The 18,328-nt window shown below is 43.1% G+C and overlaps 1 protein-coding gene and 1 pseudogene across 1 annotated transcript in view; both read right to left on the reverse strand.

Moving 5' to 3' along the window:
- Positions 1 to 3,845: 3,845 nt before the first annotated feature.
- PSTPIP2 (proline-serine-threonine phosphatase interacting protein 2) overlaps positions 3,846 to 18,328 on the reverse strand; it is an 88,725-nt gene continuing 74,242 nt past the window's right edge. Inside the window, exons 9-15 of the mRNA NM_024430.4 lie at positions 18,059 to 18,138; positions 13,915 to 14,013; positions 12,416 to 12,512; positions 12,212 to 12,293; positions 11,032 to 11,066; positions 9,012 to 9,069; positions 3,846 to 5,760 (exon numbers count right to left, since the gene is read on the reverse strand). Coding sequence (NP_077748.3) covers positions 9,020 to 9,069; positions 11,032 to 11,066; positions 12,212 to 12,293; positions 12,416 to 12,512; positions 13,915 to 14,013; positions 18,059 to 18,138 — 443 coding nt within the window. The 3' untranslated portion in view covers positions 3,846 to 5,760; positions 9,012 to 9,019. The remainder of the gene's footprint in view (positions 5,761 to 9,011; positions 9,070 to 11,031; positions 11,067 to 12,211; positions 12,294 to 12,415; positions 12,513 to 13,914; positions 14,014 to 18,058; positions 18,139 to 18,328) is intronic.
- RN7SKP26 (RN7SK pseudogene 26) lies at positions 9,963 to 10,255 on the reverse strand (annotated as a pseudogene).

Consider the following 18,328-nt stretch of genomic DNA (forward strand, 5'->3'; position numbering starts at 1 on the left):
TGGCGTGATCTCGGCTCACTGCAACCTCTGCCTCCTGGGTTCAAGCGATTCTCCTGCCTCAGCCTCCTGAGTAGCTGGGATTACAGGCACATGCCACTACGCCCAGCTAATTTTTGTATTTTTAGTAGAGATGGAGTTTCACCATGTTGGTCAGACTGGTCTCAAACTCCTGACCTCGTGATCCACCTGCCTCCGCCTCCCAAAGTGCTGGGATTACAGGCATGAGCCACCACATCCGGCTGAGAACGCACATCTTACACTAAGAGATATTTGCTTTACGGCAAAGGTGGTACAACAACAGACAAATGCCCATCGGCTCCCCTTTGTCTACTGTGTACCGCATCACCTAGAAGATGCTGTCCTGATAGATTACTGGAATGTCCTCTTAAAGGTGCAGCAGCTTGAGAATAATACCTTGCAAGGCTGGGATGCTGGCCTTGATGATGAGGTATTGGTGTTTAAATGGCCACAATCTGGTACTGCATGTTATGACTCCAATAGGTAGAAAACACAGTCTGGGAACTGAAGAAAATTATGTATACAGTGGTCCATTTCCAACACAAAGTGCCTTGAATTGGCTTAGATCAGCAAACTACAAAAGAAACAGGATATATGAGGCCTCTGCTTGGATAGCCAACGCCTGCTTGTTGGCCTCCACCTTCCCCACAACTTAGTTGCCCTCACCTGAACCAAAGGAGTTTAGTCTAAGATGAAAGTTTACTAGCCTGCAGAATAGTTCCTTTTGTCTGTTCTTATCAGCCTGCCCAGCTATTTAGGTCATAAGTCAAATACTTGAACAGCGCCTGAGCTAGGATTGCAATGCATTCTGGGCTGCAACAAGATGCAGCAAGACAACCCTAAAAAAATACCTAAAGCCTTTACCCAACAATCAATTGGCAATGTCCAGGAAGATTGTGACCCTGTAATACTCAGCCTTTGAGGAACCGGGGAGGGACCTGTGCACTAGGGGATAAATTGCTTGTTGAAACTGTGCTGGGTGTGCCTGCCTATCAGACACCTGATCTTGCAAGACCATCATTAAAAGTCTCACTTTTGATGTTCTGCATGTCTCTGAGTCCATTCTTTGGGTTTGGATGGGTGAGTTTGTCTCTCACAGAAACCAAGAGGTAAGAGTGGCGTCTGTCACTATGGCTCACACTGACCCACCGGGAATTTGTGCTTCCCATCCCTTCGACTTTAGGCTCTGCCAGACAAAAACTCCTGACTCTAGGAGGTTGGCAGGGGATATCTATACCAGGGGATATAGAAAGGGTTCCATAAAACTATGGCCAATGCCTGGGCTATTGGGGTTCCTCATACCAATAGACCAGCAGGCAAAGAGAGGCATACCAATCCCAACAGGAGTTAGTGATTATCATGAGAAAAAGGGGGCAACGATGAATATATCTGGAAGGCAGGAGTTTCCCTGGGGTGCTTCCTTGTGTTCCCATGCCTGGTAATTAATATAAACTGGCAATTTCAGCAAACAGGGGACAAAAGCCTGATAACCAGGGCTAAGACCACCACCCCAGGGAGGAAGATGCAGATTATCCCACCAGTCAAGCAACCTAGACAAGCAGATGAACTAGCCAAGTTTAAGAGGATTCTAGAATGTCTGTGCATTAGTTCACTAGGGCTGCCATAAAAAAATACCACAGATTGGGTGGTTTAAACAACCAAAATTTATTTTCTTTCTGTTCCAGAGGCTGGAAGTCCAAGAACAAGGTGCAGAGTTGGTTTCCTCTGAGGCCTCTTTCCTGGGCTTGCCACTGGCACATGGCCACTCTCTTGCTGCCTCTTCACGTGCTCATTCCTCTGTAAACATGTACTCCTGCTGTCTCTTCCTCTTCTTTTTTTTTTTTTTTTGTTTGTTTGTTTGTTTGTTTGAGACAGAGTCTCCCTCTGTCACCTAGGCTGGAGTACAGTGGCGCGAACTTGGCTCACTGCAACCTCTGCTTCCGGGGTTCAAGTGATTCACCTGCCTCGGCCTCCTGAGTAGCTGGGATTACAGGTCCCTGCCACCACGCCCGGCTAATTTTTGTATTTTAGTAGAGTTGGGGTTTCACCATGTTGGCCAGGCTGGTCTCAAACTCCTGACCTCAAGTGCTCTGCCAGCCTTGGCGTCCCAAAGTGCTGAGATTACAGGCATGAGCCACCGCATCTGGCCTCTTCCTCTTCTTAGGAGAACACCAGTCACTAGGATTAGGGCCCCACCTCAACGGCCTCCCTTCAATTTAATCACCTCTTTAAAGGCTCTGTCTCCAAACATGGCCACATTCTGAAGTACTGGCTGGCAGCTGGGACTTCAACATATGAATTGTGTGTGAGGGTGGGGTGCATGATTCATCCATAATAGTAGGGGGAGGAAGGAGATGATGAATATCAATTATGGATTTAAGATTATCTGTAAGAACAGGAAATATAGCTGGTCCTGCTAACTGTTTCCTTTGTATGTGTGTGTGTCTGTTTTTGGAAGTTGGGACTTGAAGAAGTAGTGATAGGATGGAGTAAAAAGTGGGGTATGGATGCATCTGAACCATGTGGGGTCAGATGCTGTCAATGCCCCATCCACATCCCTTCAGTACCTCTCAATTCCTTAAACACACAGTTCCAACTGTCAGGAACTGTGTTCCTGCCTAAGGACCCTCTCAGACTGTTCCCACTCTCCAGCGTTGGAGGCAGCCCAGAAGTGCTGGGAAATTAATGCCTCCTAGGAGCATTCTGCAACCAGTGACTGACAGGAGTTGGTGAATAAATACTCCAGCTCCCTTGTGGCTTAGGTGCAATATCTCCTAAGTGTGTGTGTGTTCTTTTTTTTTTTTTTTTTTTCTTGAGACAGAGTCTCACTCTGTTGCCCATGCTGGAGTGCAGTGGCGCGCGATCTTGGCTTACTGCAACCTCCACCTCCCGGGTTCAAGCAATTCTTCTGCCTCAGCCTCCTGAGTAGCTGGGATTACAGGCACGCGCACCATGCCCAGCTAATTTTTTAATTTTTAATAGAGACAGGATTTCACCATGTTGGCCAAGCTTGTCTCGAACTCCTGACCTCAGGTGATCCACCTGCCTCGGCCTCCCAAAGTGCTGGGATTACACCGCACCCAGCCCCAGTTGTGTGTTCTGCACTGTTTCCTGGGAGTCTTCAACAAGAGTAAGCTCCAGCTGCCTGCCATGTAGCTTACTTGATAATGCACACTGTTTTTGCCTTTCTTCCTTTCCCTATCTGGCTTCCCCACTTCCATACTGGCACTTTCTGGAAAAAGTACTTGTACACAAATCCTTATCTCGGGGTCTGCTTCTGATGGAACCCAAATTAATATACCAACAGTCTGTAGAATAGCTCACATTTACTAAATTTAACACATGTACTCGTTTGGCTTCACTCACTTTGCACTCCTTATTTCTCTTTCAAGTGGTTGTTTCTCTAGCTATGTTTTCTTATGGGCCACTAATTCTTTCATAGTCTCTACTATGTGCCAGGTGCTGGAGATACAGCAGGAAAAAGAATAGACAATGGCCCTGCTACCATTGGGGTTCCAGTCTAAAAAGGAAGACAGGCTTTGAACAATTAATTTCAAGGGTGAATCATATCATAACAAGGAAAATGGAGGGGGAGGAGAGATACAGTAGTTGGATCCAACCTAGTCTGAAGGCAGAGATGGTGTCTCGCAGAGGAAGTAACACTGCAATTGACCTCTGAAGGATTAGTACAAAGTAGTTCGGCACCATCTCCATTTGGCTTCCCTGACCAGCGGTTTGTCTTTTTGAAGCCTAACAATCACAAATGTGGCAAGGGATCAAATAAAGCTTGGAAGAGCGATATGGTCAACACAAAAATACGAAACAAATCCCAAATTACCAAGAACCTTTATTTAACCTACCAAACTAAAAGAGCAATAAAATAAAAATATTTTCCATCCACAAAACGGTTTTACATCAACTACACTGACCAATACAGAGAAAAGGGAAATCCCTGAGGAACTGCCAACAATAAATAATATACTTAAAATAGAATGTTCTGAGTGTAAAGGAACATTTCCTGAGCCCGTTCAGTTTGGGGAAATTTGGCCCTTTGCAAAATTCAGTTTCTCAAAAGGATATCCAACTGATGCAAGTTTCCTGTCATGACAAGAAGCTGTCATGTTCAGTAGCACCTTACACGAAAGGTGGGGAAATAGGCCGGGCGCAGTGGCTCACGCCTGTAATCCCAGCACTTTGGGAGGCCGAGGCAGGTGGATCACCTGAGGTCAGGAGTTTGAGACCAGCCTGACCAACATGGTAAAACCCTGTCTTTACTAAAAATACAAAAAATTAGCCAGGTGTGGTGGTGGGTGCCTGTAATCCCAGCTACTCAGGAGGCTGAGGCAGGAGAATCACTTGAACCCGGGAGGCAGAGGTTGCAGTGAGCTGAGATCATGCCGCTGCACTTCAGCCTGGGGGACAGAGAGAGACTCTGTCTCAAAAAAAAGAAAAAAAGATGAGGAAATAATCAATCTTCTTCTGATCAATTTGTCCATAGTTCTGGAAAAGCTACTGCACAGAGCAGGAGAGGAAACTATTTGCTCTCTGTAATACTGAAAAACTGAGAGTGCTATTTTAACTTGTCAATAACTAAAAGGTACCATTTTCTCATAGTGCACAGGTGTTGTACAAAAAGTACATGACCTCCCTGCTGTTTGTGAGTGAAAAAGGAAAACCCAAATATTTGTGAAAGTGTAAGACGGATGCATTTAAAATTCTGGGGTCTAGCAAGGGAAAGATTCTCTGTGAAGACCCAAAATTGAGGACTGGTTTTATAACTCTAAAATTATCTTGAGGAATGGAATCAAAATATGGTATTTCATTGATTCTAAGATGTATTTTTTTCATACTTTAGCATCTTAAATTCAGATGGGCTTGGCCATCAATAGTCTGTCCCAAGTTTATTGGCAACTCCTCGACCCCACCTTCTTAGTGCAACATAAAATAATGGCATGTTTTACAATCAGTGGCTCCTTAAATTAGATTAAACATCATGCTCTGTAGTTCAGCATACACAGGGATCCACATAAAAATAAATCTGACATTTAAACCCTGGTGATTCTCCCAACTGAAAAAGTGCTGGCAAAAATATTTGGCATCTTAAATTTCAGCATGAGCATCACAACTTCAGGAAGGGTTAGAAGAATAGTGATGTGGGTTGGGCTCAGGCTCTAGTTCTGGTTCTGTCCCTCATCAGCTAGGAAAACTGTAAGGAAATTAATTTCACACTTGTAGGCTTTATTTCCTCATCTGTAAAATGAGAAAGTATGATCAGGCGGCTTCTAAGTCTTCCAGCCAAAAAGGAAGGTAATTTTAAATCTTGCACCACTGAGGCTGTGTGTCGCCGTGGAAACTCCACAGCCAGGCTGCCCAAAGCCAAAGGAGCCACTACTGCAGTTGGTGGCTCAGAATCCTCTGCTGCCACCTCTGCTCCTCAAGTGGATGCTCCAAATCCAGAAGTGGATTTCATGCTTCCCATGTTGAAAACCTAATTCATTCATAACCTGAGTAACTGGGAAAGAATAATTCTTCAGAATGGGGCAATTTGTAAACTTCAAAAAACTGCAGAACTCTACTTGCTTATGTTGTCCTAAATGTCTACCATAAATTTTAAATCTCTAAAAAATTATAGCAAGGGTTCACTTCAAAGTCTTCATTGCTGACATAACGTGGCTATAGGTCCTGCTGCTCTGGGTGCCCTTTCCATATCACAGAAGCACTAGCCGGAAAAAGCTCTGGTTTCTGAAAGAAAATAACAAAGAAATTTCCTCTGAATGAAAGGTGCTTGTCAATACTCTCTCCTACCTTGAGAGTATATTCAACAAGAATAAGGGTGCAGGCCAAGGAAAACAAATGGTGAGGAATGGGTATTCCAAGCAATGAGAAATGGAATGTGACGATAACAGCATTGCTTTATGGTAAATAATACATACATTTACATTTTTATACATATTTCAAATTTGAAATTTTTAATCTATCTTTACCTAAACATGTTAGAATTAACAACAGGAATAGCAGCTAAAATCAACAACTACAAAACAAATCACAAATTCCTAACTCTTCTTGTTTAAATTTTTTTTTTTTTTGAGACAGAGTCTTGCTGTGTTACCCAGGCTGGAGTGCAGTGGCGCAATCTCAGCTCACTGCAACCCCCGCCTCCCAAGTTCAAGTGATTCTCCTGCCTCAGCCTCCCAAGTAGCTGGGATTACAGGCACCCGCCACTGTGCCTGGCTAGTTTTTGTATTTTTAGTAGAGATAGGGTTTCACCATGTTGGCCAGGCTGGTCTCAAACTCCTGACCTCAGGTGATCCGCCCGCCTTGGCCTCCCAAAGTGCTAGAATTACAGGCATGAGCCACCGTACCGGGACCCTGTTTAAATTTATTTTCCAAAAGTTCATTCAAACTATTTTAATTGTTGTGATAAGTTGCTTAGTAAGTTATTCACTAAATTAGACTTCCTTCTTTAAAATTTTCTGAAATTCAGTATATGTTGTATACTGAATATGAATGTGTTGTATACTCCCTTTAGTAAAATTTTCTGAAATTGATGTATATGTTGAACCCCAACTCATTGAACTGGCACAGATTCCAGTGAACTCCAGTGAAATGATATAACTCAAGTACATGTGTTGGCACTAGCATCTTGCATTCAAACATCACACTCTTAGACTCTGAGGAACTACAGTTGTTGGGTCAAGTGGTACTATTAAGCTACTAGAATATATTCTTTACCCAAACAAGTAAGAACAGAAAAGAAAAAGGTAAAAAATAAAAAGAAACACTTAGGACTGCCAGTGACCTGCCCATCATCTACACAGTGCTCCAGAGAGCAGGTGCCACATCTGAATTCCAAGTCATTGATTTACCAGGTTTCCACTCTGCCTCTAACTAGGGCCTTGCCCCTTTCCATGAGAAAGAGGGAGGCTTATGAAATGAAGAAGAAATGATGACTGATTGTAAAGACTAGCATCTATTTGTAGATTTGTAGGTCCTAAGTTATATATAGTTAAAGAACAGGGTACTTTATGTCTTCAAGTTCCATATATTTTATAGCAAAGTTGCTTAAATATTAAATATATTAAGCAATTATATTAAGCAATTTAAGGACTTATGTTTAAATATAATAGAAACCAGCTGATTCTTTCCTTTGACTGAGTCTTGCTCTGTCGCCCAGGCTGGAGTGCAGTGGCGCAATCTCAGCTCACTACAACCTCCACCTCCTGGGTTCGAGTGATTCTCCTGCCTCAGGGTCCTAAGTAGCTGGGGCTACAGGTGCCTGCCACCATGGCTGGCTACTTTTTTGTATTTTTTGTTTGTTTGTTTTAGTAGAGATGGGGTTTCACCATGTTGATTAGGCTGGTCTCAAGTGATCCACCTGCCTCAGCCTCCCAAAGTGCTGGGATTACAGGCGTGAGCCACTGTGCCCAGTCATTAGCTGATTATTTTTATGTAATTAGGACAAGTTGGCATCTGTCCTAGATAGCCAGTTGGCTATAAGTCACAAAGTAGGTGTTTTTAGAGGACTGGAGACAAACAATGTTTGATGTGCTCACTTTGGTGGTATAGAACGCTATAGAAAATCACCCTGGAGCACTGTTAAAATCTGTTTAGGTTGATAAATGACAGTATATGTAACCAACACCAAACCAGGAAGGGTGAGAGAGAGGCTGTTGCCTTTCTCTGTTGACTTCTGGCATCCCACCCACCCACTGCCTGCCACTTGGTCTTCTGATACTGTTATCCAGGGCATACAACTAACAAGAAATGCGAAGACGTGTAGTTCAGAAGTGTAGCTCAGTCCACACTGAGATCAGGAATATGTAAGTGGATCAACCCTTTAAAACAGTTTTTAGTCAAAGCAGTAACACATTTTCATTGCAGACAAATTCAAAAACAGGAAGGAAAAATATTACCTATTTAGGAATATATCTCTTCAGACCTTTTCTTAGCTCGTGTGTACCTATATAATTCTTTTACCCCAAGATAAGCCCACTGGGGTAAAAGAATGATACTTTATGAAGAGTTTTTTTTAGTATCGCTACTTTGGCTTCTGAGGCATTTCTTCACATCTGTGAAGAATGATTTTGACTTGGAGAATGTTCCAAGCACCTGAGTGCCTAAGAAAAAGTCACCATGCAGTATATCTTTGCAGCTACAGTTGGCTTAGCAGTGTTCAGTCCTCGTCTAAGAATCCTCATGGTTTGCTTATTCAGAGCAATAATAATCTGCAGGATGACCTCCATGATGACCTTGTGTGTATAATGAGTGTGATATCATTTGCACTTCTTTTTATTTGACTTTTCCTCTTTTAGATGGTGGGAGAGTAAGCTAAAATCTAAATTACTTTAACAGTGAGGATGATGTGTGTTTTGTTGATGAGCACTGCCTTAAATCCAGGTGTGTAATAACTATAAAAGAGCTTAATAAGAGCAGATAAAGAGGGCTGGGCATGGTGGCTCATGCCTGTAATCCCAGCACTTTGGGAGGCTGAGGTGGGCAGATCACTTCAGGTCAGGAGTTCAACATCAGCCTGGCCAACATGGTGAAGCCCTGTTTCTACTGAAAATACAAAAAATATTAGCTGGGTGTGGTGGTGCATGCCTGTAATCCTAGATACTCAAGAGGCTGAGGTGGGAAGATCACTTGAACCCAGGATGTGGAGATTGCAGTGAGCTGAGATCGCACCACTGCACTCCAGCCTGGGTGACACAGCGAGACTCTGCTTCGAAAAAAAAAAGCAGATAAAGAGTTACTGTGGAATAATCAATGAAGGAAAAATAACCTCATTCAAATAGGTATGGAGGGGTCTCCAGTCTGCTTCCAGCTGTGGGATCCACAGAGGTGTCCTGAAGGGACAGCATGCTGGCCAGTGTACCTGCCTCATGCAAGGCCTTGCTAGTTTGTGGTAGTGTTATAAATAAGGTTCAAAGGCTTCAATAGCACAATTACCAGTCTACACATGACTCAATTATGTGAAAAATAAAGGTTCTTACCATTGATTTTACTGATAGAGCAAACTGTAGTCATCAACCAAAGAGTAATTGGGATCATCTGCAAAAGGCAGAACACAGAAAACAACAGTAACATCAATTTTTCATAATAAGATCTCACCCTTTTCAAGCCAGGGCATTTCACTTACAGATTCTGGTGTCTATCCTTTTGTAAAGAGAAAATAGATCTGCCAACAAAAACTATAAATGGTAGTCACGACTCCAAACCAGAGGACATTCTGGAAATCACTATTCTGACTTCTTTGCCCTTTTTCATCCATGCTCAGGTACAGTACCCACAGTAAAATCATCTTTAAAAATGGACAGAAATAGCATCCTACATTACCAAGTGGTAATTCTAAAACAACAAGAAATAAAATACCTTAAATCTTCATATTGTTCAAAGATATAATTTCAGCCACTACAGTTTTTTTTCCATCACTAAATTTTTAGTGAACTGTTAAGTGCAGCATAAACTGTCCTCCTCCCTTATTGATAGGTTTTGGCTCTGTGTCCCCACCCAAATCTCATCTTGAATTGTATCTCCCATAATTTCCACCGTTGTGGGAAGGACCTAGTGGGAGATAATTTGAATCATGGGGGCAGTTTCCCCCACAATGTTGTCCTGGTAGTGAATAAGTCTCACGAGATCTGATGGTTTTATCAGTGGTTTCCGCTTTTGCATCTTCTTCATTTTCTCTTGCCACCACCATGTAAGAAGTGCCTTTCACCTCCCGCCATGATTCTGAGGCTTCCCCAGCCATGTGGAACTGTAAGTCCAATTAAGCCTCTTTTTCTTCCCAGTCTTGGGTATGTCTTTATCAGCAGCATGTAAACAGACTAGTACACTCATTCTCTTGAACATGGATAGGTATATCTTTTCTTTACTCAAATAATAAATATATGTTGAACACCTACTATGTACTCAGAACTGTGTCAGCTGTTGTGAGTAATACAGAAGACAAAGTTGTACCTGACCTTGGGATCTTCTTATTATTCAAGGCATACAACTAATGAGAGCTTGTTTGGAGTAGCTGCAGGGGAATGCAGCTACTCATATACTCTTGACCAAAGACTGGCCCTCCTCTATCAGAAATGATCATCCTCTTTGAGCACGTAGCTTCGGGAGGGATGCACACGGACTGGTGAGGGAGGAAGGGGACACCCGCTTAGCCAGCCGGATGCACCGAATCAACCCTAGCAATCAATGGGCTGACAAATGTTGCAGCCAGACTGCCCTCACATCCCATACAACTAATAAGAAGTGCTAAGATGTGTACTTCTCCCAGAGATATCATAGGCGTTCAAAGAAAGAAAAAGACTACTGTGATTAGTGAAAGGTCTCATTAAAGATAACATTAAGTGACACGTTTCTTGACATCGATGCCTTCTATAAATTGTATTTCTATGTAATCCAAGGGGAACTATATCTCAGTTCTGCTGTTCTCACAGTCCAAGTTGAAATAATCTTTTAGGTAAAATCTGCTTGCAATAAGTTTCTTTTGGTATTTCAGTAACTGAATTATCTTGGATAAGCTATAAAATAGACCACCAATTATCATATTCCACTCTGTGACAAGTAGTATTATAGTAAGATTCTAATATAGGCTCATTCTCTTGGGAATTTGATTCTATTTAATCCTTTCATTCCCTTTATTTCAAAGTTCTAGCTATTTAATTTTAAAGAAAACCCAATATAAGAATTTCGTGGGTTTTTTGGGGTTTTTTTGTTTGTTTGTTTGTTTGTTTGTTGACACAGTTTGACTCTGTCACCAGGCTGGAGTGCAGTGGTGCAATCTTGGCTCACTGCATCCTCCACCTCCCAGGTTCAAACAATTCTTGTGGCTCAGCCTCCTGAGTAGCTGGGATTACAGGCACGCACCACCACACCCAGCTAATTTTTGTATTTTTAGTGGAGACAGGGTTTCACCATGTTGACCAGGCTGGTCTCAAACTCCTGACCTCAAGTGATCTGCCTGCCTTGCAATATAAGAATTTCAAAAGACCTTTTTTAGTGGCATACCTGGTGAGCTTTTAGGAATTGGGAGGGGTCCTCTCCTGTAAGAAATGAAAACCAAAGTATTTTAGATAAGTTCTTGTTATTTTTATAATCTTTTTACTTCTTGCTACAAGCCTATTGTACTCTAATCAGATCTGGTTTCTGCACTGGAGGGTCAAGAAAGCTCACCTAAAGCAAATGATCTGTAGCACTGACCTACGGAAATCTAAGTTGCAGACGTCGTACTATGGCAAGAGGCAGCATGCATAGTGATTAGGAGCACAGAGCCTTATCCCCACAACCCGGACTGGCAGGATTAAAATCTTAGCTGGGTAGGAAAGACTTCCTGAGTGCCTTGAACATCCGCATCCTCATAAGTAAAATAGGAAGTATAAACAGCTCCCACCTCATTGTGGGGATTAAATCAGGTAATTCACACTAACTGTTTTGAACAGTGCCTGACACGCTTAAATACTGATAATGATCATGCAATCCTTCCCAGGCACTCCCCATCTTTACTAAAACTGGAGTGAAAATTCAAAAGCTTAGACTGCAAGCTGACTATGTCAAACAGAAGTTTCTCTTTCCGCAGGATCCTTTACATGAACGGCAGCGAACTTTTTGAGTAAAGGGCCAAGTAGTAAATGATTTAGACTTTGCTGGCCACCTCCCGTCTCTCTTGCAACTCTACTCAACTCTAGTGGCAAAGCAGCCATAGACAAAACCTCAGTGAGTGAGGGTGCTTGTGTGCCCATAAAACTTGATAGAGGAACACTGAAATTTGAAATTCAAATAATTCTCACATGTCACAAAACAGTATTGTCTTGACTTTTTTCCAGCCATTTAAAAATGTAAAGACTATTCTTAACTCACAGGCCCTATAAAAATGGATTTAACTCTCAGGGGCCATAGTTTGCTGACTGGCTGTAAGAAAAGTATAGGATTTCTACAGACTATAAGAAAAGTATAGGATTCATCCATGAATAACAATGATCAAGTTCAAGCATGATATACTCCTCCCTGAACTATGACTATTAAAATCCACTTAATATTTGTCCTAAAAATACTATTTCCAAAAAGCAAGCAGCCTTATTAAGCAGATGCAGTAGTAGATATGTTCCAATTCTAACATGTCTTAGAACATTCATGATAACAATGTTTGTTAAAAGTATTTTTCTTCATATGAAAGGCAGCTGGTTATTACCTTGCCAAGTTAGGCCCTGTAGCCTTTCCTGCTGGGACTGCATTCTTCTGGGAGGAGTAGAAATTCTCATACATGATGGGTGCTAGGAGAGTCACCAAGAAACAGGACATGAAGAGGCAGGCGTCTTTCATCCTTAATGACATCTAACAAGAAAGGCTAATAGAATTGTGTAAATAACACTCCCCACCCCACTGCCCCATTCACCTGGTGGAATCTGTCCAGTTTTGCGTTGATTCACAAAGTATTCAATGTCCCTCTGAATGCTGCACATTTCTAAACTCTTTCGGACTTGTTCGTACATCTAATAAAAAAAGGTCAATTAATAGGTAGAGGTATGTTGAGATCATTGTGACACAGCTCCTTAAAAACATGGGTTTGAGGCGGGGCGCAGTGGCTCATGTCTGTAATCCCAGCATTTTGGGAGGTTGGGGTGGGCGGATCACAAGGTCAGGAGTTCGAGACCAGCCTGGCCAACATAGTGAAACCCCATCTCTGTTTAAAATACAAAAAATTAGCCAGGCATGGTGGCAGGCGCCTGTAATCCCAGCTACTTGGGAAGCTGAGGCAGGAGAATCACTTGAACCCAGGAGGTGGAGATTGCAGTGAGCCAAGATCACACCACTGCACTCCAACCCCAGGCGACAGTGCGAGACTCCGTCTCAAAAAAAAAAACAAAAAAACAAAAAAACATGGGTTTGATAGAGAGCTGACTCTTCCAAATTTTCTTGTTTTCAAAAAAAAAGAACACATTCCAAAGTCCCAGATTCATATTGGAGCTTTTCTCTGATGCACATCTGCTATTAATTTTTTATTTTTTATTTTATTATTTTTTTTTAGACAGAGTCTCGCTCTGTCACCCAGGCTGCAGTGCAGTGCAGTGGTGCAATCTCAGCTCACTGCAACCTCCACCTCCCTGGCTGAAGCAATTCCCCTGCCTCAGCCTCCCAAGTAGCTGGGATTAGAGGCACATGCCACCACGTCTGGCTAATTTTTTTTGCATTTTTAGTAGAGACGGGGTTTCACCATGTTGGCCAGACTGGTCTCGAACTCCTGACCACAGGCAATCCGCCTGCCTTGGCCTCCCAAAGTGCTGGGATTACAGGTGTAAGCCACCGTGCCCAGCCTACATTTACTATTAATTTTTTAAAGATGACAGAAAATGTATCTTTGTGGCAGGACAAAAGCCTTGGCTGAATTTTTTTTCTTTTTTTGAGATGGAGTCTCACTGTGTCGCCGAGGCTGGAGTGCAGTGGCACGATCTTGGCTCACTGCAGCCTCCGCCTCCTGGGTTCAAGCAATTCTCCCACCTCAGCCCCCTGAGTAGCTGGGATTACAGGGGTGCACCACCATGCCCAGCTAATTTTTGCATTTTTAGTAGAGACGGAGTTTCACCATGTTGGCCAGGCTGGTCTCAAACTCCTGACCTCGGGTGATCCACCCGTCTCAGCCTCCCAAAGTTCTGAGATTACAGGAGTGAACCACCGCTCCCAGCCATGAATCTCTTAATGAGAAAATCATGGTGGCAAATGAGCCAGGAGTCAGGTTACATGTTATCTGCATCCTTCTGTCAACTCACTGTATGGCCTTAGGCAAGTCACCTTACTTCACCAAGGGCAAAGTGAACCAATCAATATCTATAGTTCCTTCTACTCTAATGTATCCAACATGCACACGACAATCCTCAGTGGATGCCTCTGACTTACTTCATCACTGGTGACACATTGTTGTGACAGCTGATTCACATGTAACCACAATGCATTCCGGAAGAAGTTTATTCGTTCACATTCTTGAGCCTCAAATGCCTACAGAAAAATAGCTACGTGTACATAGATATGCAAGGAAAAGGACCATTCATTTTGGCTAGCTGTGACTTAAGAAACAGTGTCAACCTTCAGTTATCTGTAAACTTATTGTCCAATTTAGAATGCTTCTCCCCCACCACTGAGGAAACTCATAAACTCATATCACAAAGAATGCAAACAAATCCTAATATCACAGTAACACAAACAGGCTTGGAAATAGTTCTGAGGGTAAAAAGTAATGATGATCCCAGATACCAATGTTCTAACTGAGTTCCTACCGACATTTCCAACTATCTAACATCATCTCCACCTGAGCAGCCTGCCAGAGCCTCAGATTCAAAATGCTGCCCCTCCCACCCTGGAATGAATGAGTTTGACTGGCAAGATGGTCATAATTGTTGATGCTGATTGATGAGTACATGGGAGGCCGTGTACTTGTCTTCTGTCTTTGTGTATGTTTAATTGTTTTTCCTTAAAAAAAGGGTTAAAATAAAAGTCATTGCCTGAGATACAGTATTTTGGATATAAACAAATATCACCTTTAAAAAAATCAAGCTGTTCTATGAAGCAGATGGTATTCTATTCAACAGTGGATGTGATACATCAGTGTATTTTTAAAATATTGAATACCATAGCTATTTTTAACATGAATGAATTTTACATACCATAGCTTTTATATACCACAGCCCCTTTTCCACTCTATGAGGAGAAAAGGATGGGGACAGGTATAGCTATAAGTGGTTCTCATACTTGAATTCACATCAGAATCACTTGGAAGGTTTATTAGCATAGAGATTGCTGAGCTCTACCCCCACAGTTTCTGATTCAATTTCATATCTCATACTACAGGTTTTATTCAAAACCAAAAAATTTTGAATGCCTTTTAAAATTTGCTACATTTTAAAACTTGTTATAAAATAAAACAAAACTTCCAACATATACAAGTGTAGAGAGGTACAGATAGTATGATGAATCCCTATGTACTCATCACCAGCTTAAACATTTATCAACTCACAACCGATTCTATTTTATCTATATCTCTACCAATTACCCTACTCTCTGGAGTATTTTGAAGCAAATGCATTATTTCACCTCTAAATATTTTTATATCTATATAACATAGTATAATAATTTAATAATATTACATTATTGTTGTTATGGAATATTTCACATAGAATCAGAAAGCAGTATAATAAATACCTATATACCAACTACCTAGCTTTGTCAAAAACTTCAGCCATATTTTTTCAGATTCTGTAAAAGCCCCTGTGTGATTTACCCAGTTTCTATCACCTTCCTCCTTCCCCAGATAGCCATTATCCTGAATTGTATCATTCCTATGCAGGGTTTGTTTTGTTTTGTTTTGTTTTTTATGGGGAAGGGGTTGTTTCGTTGTTTGGTTTTGGGGGGTTTTATTTTGTTTTGTTTTGAGACAGGGTCTCACTTTGTCACCCAGGCTGGAGAGCAGTGGTGCGCTCATGGCTCACTGCAGCCTCAAACTCGTGGGCTCAAGCAATTCTCCCGCCTCAGGTTCCCAAGTAGCCTCTACCACCATGCCCGGCTAATTTTTATATTTCTTTGTAGAGACAAAATTTCGCTGTGTTGCCCAGGCTGGTCTTGAACTCCTGGGCTCAAGCAATCCACCCGCATCAGCCTCTGAAAGTGCTGGGATTATAGGTGTGAGCCACCGCACCTGGCCTTTATGCAGGTTTTTACACTATATATGTATCTGTATATGTACATGATATTGCTTTACATGTTTTTAAACCTTATTAAAAAATGGCCTCATTCTAGGCTTTCCCCTAAGAGTGTGGAGTTACAGAAGTAAAGCAGAAAACAGTGTTTTAGGAGAAGCATAATAACCTACAGTATCAGATGGCAAAGAGAGATCAAATAAGATTAGAAACTGCAAAGGCCCACTGGCCCTCATGCCAAGGGATTCTGGTGCCCTCCAAGACAGCAGCTGCAGGGAAGCAAATCCCAGATGCTGCAGGCTGGGGCAGTCAGGACAACATGGACTTGGAGACAGCCCCTTCAAAAAGCGTGGCTGTGAAGAAGGGCGGGGGTAGTAGGGGTCGTAGATAGAAAGTAAGAACTGCTGGTTTTGTTTTTTGCTTTTTGGGTTTTTTTGAGATGGAGTCTAACTCTGTTGCCCAGGCTAGAGTGTAGTGGCATGATCTCAGCTCACTGAAACCTCCACCTCCCGGGCTCAAGTGATTTTCCCACCTCAGCCTCCCAAGTAGCTGGGATTACAGGTGCTTGCCACCACATCCAGCTAATTTTTGTATTTTTAGTAGAGACTGGGTTTCACTATGTTGTCCAGACTGGTCTTGAACTCCTGACCTCAGGTGATCTGCCTGCCTTGGCCTCCCAAAGTGCTGGGATTACAGGCATTAGCAGCCACCATGCCTGGCTGAACTGGTGGGTTTTAAAGCTAGGAGAGAGTTGAGTCTGTGTGCAAGATAACAGAAGTTGACAAGTTCTCCATGCCCAAGAAGGTGGGGAAAGGCAAGCTGGATGAAAAAAGATCTTGAACAAGGAAGGAACAGCCCCTTTTCTGTGCTAACAGGAAAAAAGGAGTGGGGCAGGCGTGTCTGTCAATGATTCTTATACTTGAATTCCCATCAAAATCACTTGGAAGGCTTATTAGCACAGAGATTGCTGGGCTTTACCCCCAGAGTTTCTGATTCGGTAGGTCTGAGGTTGGTCTGAGAACCTGCATTTCTAACAAGTTCCCAGGTGATGCTGATGCTACCAGTCCTAGGACCTCACTTTGAGAACCACTGGAAGAAAATGTGTAGGCAGGATGACAGAAACTTAAGCAAGCTTCCAAGTTATGTTTTTTATTTTCTCTTGGAAATTGTGAGGTCATTTGCTGCAAAAGAAAGGGAGCAGTGGTGAAATTGAAGGTATGAGGAGAGTAAAAAAAAAAAAGAAAACCCTCCAGCCAGGCATGGTGGCTCATGCCTGTAACCCTGGCAACTCAGGAGGCAAAGGTGGAAGGATTGCTTGAGACCCAGGAGCTCAAGACCAGCCTGGGCAACAGAGCAAGTCCCTGTCTCTTTAAAAATAAAATAAATAATAAATAATTAACAAGGCGTGGTGGTGCACGCCTGTAGTCCCATCTACTTCACTTGAGCTCATGGGGTTTCAGGCTGCAGTGAGCTCTGATCATGCCACTGCACTCCAGCCTGGGCGACAGAGTGAGACCCAGACTCAAAACAAAAAGCAAACAAACAAATCTCCAAAGCCTACTCACTTGCTGTTGGCATTCCCTTTAGAGCCTATTGAGGCCGGGCTCTCCAAAGATAATTACTTAATCGACCATTAACTGATTCAGCTATTCTATGCTTGTGCTAACCCAACATTAGACTAAAATTTGAACTGTTGGACAGCATGGTCAGGATGGGGATGAGGCAGACAAGGTTTGGGGAAAACTATTCCAGTTCCTTCCATTCTTCACTTAAATTTCTGATTTCTTTTTTTGTTTGTTTGTTTTCTTGGAGACGGAGTCTTGTTCTGTCGCCCAGGCTGGAGTGCAATGGCACTATCTTGGCTCACTGCAACTTCCGCCTCCCAGGTTCAAGCTATACTCCTGCCTCAGCCTCTAGAATAGCTGGGATTACAGGTGTGCGCCACCACACCCGGCTAATTTTTGTATTTTTAGTAGAGACAGGGTTTCACCATGTTGGCCAGATGGTCTTGAACTCCTGACCTCAGGTGATCCACCCACCTCGGCCTCCCAAAGTGCTGGGATTACAGGCATGGGCCACCGTGCCTGGCCAAATTTCTGATTTCTAATTTGCCCTCAAGCTCTGTAACCCTATGAGAATCCGGGCAGATCATTTCTACAAAAGTAGACTCTCCAGGTTCTGGGCAGAAGACCCACCTCCCGCCCCCTCGTCCTCCCCCAACCCCCGGCCCCACTCCCCCTTCCCTCCCTCCCCTCCCCCTCCTCCCCTCCCCCCCCCGTCCTGAGCAGCTTCCTGTTACACACACCCCCACCCACCCACCCCAGTCCTGAGCAGCTTCCGGTTACGGGTACCTCGCAGGCCTTGATGTGCTCACTCTGCCACTCTTCTCGGACCTTATCCAGGGTGCCGATGTGCAGCATGTATGCTTTGTCTGCAACAGAAGGGAGAGACCTGGGTCAGAAACTAGACAGGAAGGTGGCTCGCAGATACACCCACAGGCTGGTCTCAGATGGCAAAAGAAACTCATCCGAGTTGTGCTGAGCTTACAAGGCCCCCAGGACTCTGAGCACTGGGAGTTATTGCATCTCTCACCCTCATCATATTTGGTGAAGTAGGCAAAG

The sequence above is a fragment of the Homo sapiens genome, chromosome 18 (genome assembly GCF_000001405.40).
Source record: "Homo sapiens chromosome 18, GRCh38.p14 Primary Assembly".
Taxonomy (NCBI): domain Eukaryota; kingdom Metazoa; phylum Chordata; class Mammalia; order Primates; family Hominidae; genus Homo; species Homo sapiens.